A 7,660-nucleotide genomic window follows, 5' to 3' on the forward strand; every position below is an offset into this window, starting at 1 on the left:
TCGTCCTGTTCCTTGTAATGTGCATGATGTTTTAATTAAAGACAGGATTCCTTAGGTACAGTCTTCCCTCTTGGTTATTAGTAGTCTTCATCTACTGTCTTAAAGTTTCTAGTTATGTGGATGAGAAATGTAATTCTTCTTCTTTTGGGGGAAAATATTTTTTAACACTTGTCTTAGTTGATTTTGTGTTGCTATAACAGAATACCTGACACTGGGTCATTTATAAATATAATAATTTATTGTTATTTATAAAGATAATAATTTATTTGGCTCACAATTCTGGCTCAAATTTGGCTCACAATTCTGGAGGCTGTGAAGTCCAAGATTGAGCAGCCCATCTGGTGAGTGTCTTATGCTGCTTTAACTCATGGTAGAAAGTGCAAGGGGAAGTGGGCACATGCAAAAAGGCACACAGGAGAGTCTAACCAATTCCCACAAGAGAACTCACTTACTCACTGGAGAGGGCATTCATGAAGGCAGTGCCCCCATCATCCAAACATCTCCCATTAGGCCACACCTCCTAATGCTACCAAAGTGAGAATCAGATTTCAACGTGAGTTTTGGCAGGGGGTGGGGGTAATCACATCCAAACCTTAGCAACATTTAAGTTTTCTCATAAACCCAGGAGCTCAGGCATTGTACCGGGATACACTGGGTATGCATGTCTTCTTATCAGTCTTGAACTCTAACACACTTTCCACCTGTAGGCTCAGGTCTTTCATAAGCCTAGGTAAGCTTTTTTGTTGTTGCTATTTTCTTTCCCTAATCTGTTCCCTTTTTACCTGGTAGCACTTCTATCATTTCTTAAATCTTCTATGCTTTCCTTCATGATTTGTGTCTAAAATTATATTCATTTTAAAATACATTTGCACTTGATCTCCAAGCCTACTAATTTAGTTCCCTATACAGATCACTCTTCCTCACTTTACTACTGAATTATTTATTTAGGAAATTATTATTTTTACCCCAGGATGTCTCTTTAGAGCTTCACTAAAACCTTCATAAGTGTTCTATTTTTTATTATTTTTATAATCAAAATGTCATCTGTCTCCTTCAGCAATCGTTTTAGTAGTTGTGCATTTTTATTCATTGCCTTATTCTTCATATTTTTTACTGGGCTCCCCTGGGCTTCTTTAAGTGGCTTCTTGAGATTTTATAGATCTCCAAGGCACAAATCCTTTGGCCTCTTGTGGGGCAGATTGAAGAGGTACACTCATGCAGAACCAAAAACTACCTACTTAAGGTGTCCAGAAATCTCCTTTCAGAATCCACCACTCTCTGGCCTTTGGCCTGGGGTTATTGATGCTAACCTTAGGTTTTTCCACCCCAATAGAGCCAAAATAAAATCCATGATTTTCACCTACATCTGGAGCCCCACACAGTTTAGCATCACAGTTGTCTAGCACTGCTTAGAAGCGCCAAAATTGTTGACTCAGGATTAATTGGTTTGAAAGCAGACGAGGGTGATTTTCTAGGAACCATATTGCTGGAATCCTTTTGTCTATAAGCAGAAGTAGATCAAGTGTGCATAAGTCCTATCATCACTCACTCTTTCAAGCTATATTAGGGGTACAGTATCATAATCCCTCTCTTACTCTTTCAAGCTATTTTATGTCACTATCACTTCTTTCAGCTCGAATAAACACAAAACCCAGAGAGCACTTAGAGGGAGAAGAGATTGATCAGCAGCTCAATCTCTTTTTCTTTTGCTCAGCATCCTCAGCAGGTTGCTTTCAGCTTCACAGAGTTGTTTACAAAGACAGAAAGGAGAGAGTAGTGGAGAGGTAATGCTGCCCCCATTCCCACGTAGAAAGCTTTCCCCTTGGTCAAATCAGATTCACATGATTACCTTAGCTGCAAGAGAGCCTGGGAAAGAGGGTGATTCACATTTTTAACATTTATCATGGTGAGAGAAGGAAATTGCTGTTAGGCATGCAACTGATATGGCTTGCCATATTCTCAGAGGACTATTAGGGTTTAAGTCATGGGGTGGGAAAAATATGTCTCTGGCTACCTAATAAATCTGTTTTCTTGAATTGAGTGATAGCTGCCTCCTTCTGCTTGTGGAGTGTCCATGTGTGTGGGGCAGTGTTGAAGACAGACATGTCATTTTCCCAATATCTCTTGTCCTGCTACTCTGCCTCAAGGCTTCATCTGTACTTTGTGCTTAAAAATTCCTCCTGAAATCTGGCATATCTTTGATCAACAGTCCTAGCTTCTAACATTGTTGAAAATTTACATTTGCTTTTGAGATTTCCTAAGAATTTCATGGGAAAGTTGATAAAGGGTGTGGGGTGTGGTTTCTGAATGCCCTTGGCTTTGGTGCCAGAATTGGCATCAAGGACTTGGCCCCAGTGACTCCACAGTGAAGCAGGTGCTCCTTTGCATTCACCCAACTGCATGATGTCAGTGGCTGCAGCCACGGACGACTGATGTCACCCAAGGCAAGGTGAGGGCAGATCAGTCCCTGTTAACCACAATTCTATATACAATCTTGAGAAGATATTTTTCAACGTACAGAAAGAAAGCCTAATTGACAGCCAAGAGCTTAGCGGCTTTGAAGTTGTTAATGAACAAGATAATAACAGGTTTTACTTTTTGCAATGGTATAATTTTTCCTCTAAAAATTTCTGCTAATTTTTGGGAATTGTGATAAAAGAATCACCCTTAATGTTAGGTGATTAATTTATGCTACACTAGATCATATGACATATGGTGACTGCAAATGATCTAATACTCAAAGGCAGTTTTTCAGAAGGAGCAGAAAAGGCAAGTCAGGGTTAGCAAAGTCCAGGCAGAGACCTGGACTATACTGAACTATACTGTTTAGATAAAAAAATACTGAATTATTTTAAAAAATGAATGTTTTAGCGAATGAGCACAGTTTTTTATATGATGAGAATGAAGTTAGCAGTTAGTGATTGTTTGGCTAGCCATGGAGAGCCTTCTACTCCAAATGAGGAGTTTATCTAGTTATGATGAAATATTTTGGGGAAGAGGGATAAAATAGAAAAAAAATTAGCAATAGGTTTAAAAAATCTTTCATATGACATATTTTCTTCTTGATTCTTAGAGGATGAAGCACCTATCACCGCCTGTTACATTGATTTAGATAAGCCCCAAGTGTCTAATCCCCAAACATAAAACATTCGGTTGTCTCATGGTATCTTGCCACTCAAAATGTGGTCCAGAGGCCAGCAGTATCTTATCACTTGGGAGCTAGTTAAAAATGTAGAACCCATACATCCAGCAAGTAGCTGGATTGTATGCTCTGAGTGAGGGTCCGAGCCACCTGCCATTTTGCTGGAGGAGCCCCTTGGGGTGTAATAAATATTTATAATGTCTTTCATCTTTGAGTGGATCTGCAGTGGCTTCAGCAGTGTGCCCCAATTCCTAGGACTCAACAAGAAATCTGGAAAACTTTTATTCGTAGGTTTAAACAATACAGACAAAACCATTCTTCTTCACATGATCAAAGATGACAGATTGGGCCAACATATTCCAACACTACATCTGACATCAAAAGAGCTAACAATTGTTGGAATGACTTTTACAACTTTTGACCTTGGTCAGCATGAACAAGCATGTCGAGTTTGGAAAAATTGTCTCCCAGCAATGAATGGGGTTATCTTTCTGGTGGACTGTGCAGATCATTCTTGCCTTATAGAATCCAAAGTTGAGCTTAATTCTTTAATGGCTGATGAAACAATATCCACTATGCCAATCCTTATCTTGGGTAACAAAATTGACAGAACAGATACAATCAGTGCAGAAAAACTCGGTGAGATATTTGGGCTTTATGGACAGACCACAGGAAAGGGGAATGTGACCCTGAAACAGCTGAATGTTCGCCCCGCGGAAGTGTTCACGTGCAGTGTGCTCCAGAGGCAAACCTACAGGGAGGGTTTCTGAAGTTTTGACAGTGAAAATAAGAGTTTCACTTCTCTGGACTGATCCTATTCACAGCTTCCTCATGAACTTTTCTAATAGAACAAGGAAAGCTCTGCAACTATGTCTGGCATTGTGAAGCCTAGAGTCTCTGTCAACTCTCTCACTACCCAGTAGTGATATGTGCCCTTCTCCACACCGTTGGAAGGTAATGCTACCCCACGTGCAGTATTCTGGTCAGTATCCTGGGACTTGGAAGTTGGCAGGATTTGCCGGGTAAAGCTGTGTGCCATTGTGGGGCACCTGAAAAGAAAATCATGTCTCACCACTGTAATTGATTTTAAAAAAAAGCGATTCTATTTTTTAAAGAAAGTGTTGTTAATGTAATTGGTATCCCTCCTCACTTTTTTAGTTCTCAGTTTACTTGGTCTAGAGTTTTCCATTCTTTTTTATTAACTAGTTAATGATACTTAGATACTTCATAAAATTATGCGCAGATACACATTGGAGACCAGAGCTCATTTGGGTGAACTTACTCCTGCTGAGTTAGCAGGTTGGTGAGCGAAACTCCCCTGAGCACATCTGTCTCTCTAACTGCCTTGGAGTAGGTGGCATTATCCTGTCCACACAGAACCAGAAAAGGGACAGAACTCTGGCCTTGCAGTTGTGGCAGGTTTCACTGTGGTAAACTAGGGTCATTCCTCATCAAGGAATGTGTAGCAGATTGTTGACTGTGGAGGAGTTAATTATAGAGTGGGTTATTCTTATTTACAAAGTTACAGATTTCAGCCAGTCTCTGCTTTTGTACTTTTGTGAAATTTTATTTCTCTCTATAGCATCTTTTTCATTTTTGGTTATAAAAAGTGACTTTCGCTTTTTAAAAGAGTTGAGAACATCTCTCATGTCACATACTGCAGGTGTGTCAGTTACTTTTGCATAGATTCGAGGGGGATATTTTTCTAAATAGGAAGACAGGACAAAGTTAACAGTTTAAGGGCTCTTAATTCTGTGAGTTGAGGACTTAAAAGTATTGTAGTACTTGTTTGGATCCAGAAAATTTTACTCAGTGAGCTTTAAAATTTCCATTTGTAGCATTTGGTCTCCATTGGGCTGTGCATGAACTATTTTTCTTACATCTTTTCTCCTTAGATATCTATGTTGTTGGTATTAAAGTATGAGTTAACATCTGTAGCTTTTCCAGGTTTGTTTGTTTGGTTTTTTGGTATGAAATTGCCTTTCTCCATTGCAGAAATAAGCTGGGGGAAACACTGACCCAAAAACTTTCTGTAGAGCTGTTCCTTGGGAGATAGCATCACTTATCGACAGTAAAGACTCTGTATAAAAGCACCAGCATCCCTACCAGGATGATGAGGTTTAATTTTATAGCATTCCATTTTCCTTGTACCACATGTAAAATTGAATTTTGGTGATCTTAACATATATTCTACCCTTGTAGTAAAAGATCAAACAATAGATCTCCTAGGGAAAGATAACATAGGAGATGAAAAGTTGGGAGGATATCTGTATTCTAATGTGAGGGTAGGGAAAGTGCAGATAATATATTTCCAGGGTAAGAGAGTATCCTTCTTTAGTTGCAGTTTTCATTCTCAGTCTTCAGTGCTGACTTGTTGGGAAAGCACACTTCTTCACTGCCGGGTACCTAATGCAGAGGCTCAGTGAAGTGTACGTCTGGGATGTTCATGCATTTCACTTATTAGTAAGCATAGCTGGATTAAGACAATTGTTGGTTTGGAAAGGGGTTAAAGCCTTAAGCGAAAAAATCTACCTAATAGTGAATGAACTATGTAATTAACTTGGATATTTTTAAGTTCCTATGGTTAAAGGTTCCCCATACTTCTCTATTCAGAGACATGAGAAGTATGATTGCTTCAGTGTTAGTTTTCTTACTTTTTTTTCCTATTTGTCCCTAGTCACTTTGTTGCAAGCTAGAAAACTGGGGGTTCTACATAGGGCAGCTCTTTGTGAAAGTGTTTTATCCCACTGGAGAAAGGGGATTGAAAATCAGTTAGGACCAGTGTATTTCTTGCCCCACCGAACACTATTCCTATAATAAAATAGCTGAAAGAAGCTGCTGGGTGGAGCTTCGGCACCTTGTACAGGAATTCCAATGAATTAAGACTTTTCATTCTGTTTTAGCAGTACATATATGTCCTATTTCGGGAAAAGTAAAACCGTCATTTACAAAAGAATGTCAATCTGTATCCTAAGCATTTATATAAAAAGTTAAAACAAAACGAAAGTGTAGAGTCTTAGACAGCACCTATATCTACAGAACCAGAGCCTCATTTTACCAGATCCCCTGGTACATTGGTATTGGAGAAGCACTGACATGGCATCTGAGAGTGGGGATGGTATGAAAGTGAGAAGGCAAAACTGATCATCTTATTTCAAGACACTGTGGCAATTATGTGGTTTAAATTTCTTTATTACTTTATTACTTTTAGGTTTGGCTTACTTGGCTTACTTTTCAGGCTCAGCCTTCTTCACTGAGAATTACACACACCCAAAGCTTTTCATGTACTTATTTCTACCAGAGACTTCACCCAGTGCCTGAGTTTTCAGTATTAGAAGCGTTTTTTTTGCATTAGGTGTGGGCAGAGGTTAAAATATTCATGTGTTCCCTAAAATAGGTAATGCATTATGCTGTTTTCACATGAGGCAAGATTTGTTCTAGTCGTGTGTGTGTGTGTGTGTGTGTGTGTGTGTGTGTGTGTGTGTGTGTGTGTGTGTGTTGAAATAATCATGAAGCAGGGACTAAAGAAGTTGGAATTAAAAGTTTGCATCTAGAAGAGGGACAAATCTGAGACATGAAGCGTGGCTGTGAGGACCGTGGGAAGCAGGGGGCAAGGAGCAGCCTGGGAAATGGAGCTGTGAGGGATTAACACGGGAAAGGTGGGAGGTACATCTCAGAAACAGTTGACTTGGGGTCAGCTCCAACACTGTCTACTTACTGTAAATAAATTGTTCAAATAACACATTTGATTCCCTCTGCAACTCTTTCCTGAGACAAATATCACTCAGAATCTTCCTGCCTGAATTCCTGAAGAGTTAAACAAAGCATCACCTTTCAGATAATTCTTTCATCTAAACAGGGTATCTAAAATGTCTTCTATTTAACTTTTTAGTTCTGTACCAGAGTAATGCTTTAAGATTACTATATAAATAAACAAGCTGAAAACTAGATGTGCCAGTGACAACTTTAATAATCCAATCCTTTTTAAATTTTGTAATGAATTTTTTTCTTCTTTTTTTAGTCAAGGTCTTACTCTGTCACCCAGGCTGGAGTGCAGTGGTATGATCTTGGCTCATTGCAACCTCCTCCTCCCGGGTTCAAGTGATTCTCCTGCCTCAGCCTCCCTAGTAGCTGGGATTGCAGCACCTGCTATTGTGCCCAGCTAAGTTTTGTATTTTTAGTAGAGACGGGGTTTCACCATGTTGGTCAGGCTGGTCTTGAACTCCTTACCTCAGGTGATCCACCTGCCTCGGCCTCCCAAAATGCTGGGATTACAGGCTTGAGCCACCACACCTGGCCTGTAATGAACTATTTTTAAATGTTGGAAAAAGATTGTTTTTTGTTTCCGTTTTTCTTTTTGTTTTTCCTATTTCAACAGTGAGGAGTATTGCAGCATCCACAATATTGCTCTACAATGATGTTTCTTAAGTCTATACGTTTTTCACTGAACGAAGTGACAATTTTATTTAAATGCTTTAATTCTTTGAGATGGAAAGTGAATACTGCCATCTCTGGGTG

At 39.3% G+C, this 7,660-nt stretch overlaps 1 pseudogene; it reads left to right on the forward strand.

The window, feature by feature from the left end:
• SAR1AP3 (secretion associated Ras related GTPase 1A pseudogene 3) lies at window positions 3,263-6,142 on the forward strand (annotated as a pseudogene).

Source organism: Homo sapiens, chromosome 4, assembly GCF_000001405.40.
Source record: "Homo sapiens chromosome 4, GRCh38.p14 Primary Assembly".
NCBI lineage: Eukaryota > Metazoa > Chordata > Mammalia > Primates > Hominidae > Homo > Homo sapiens.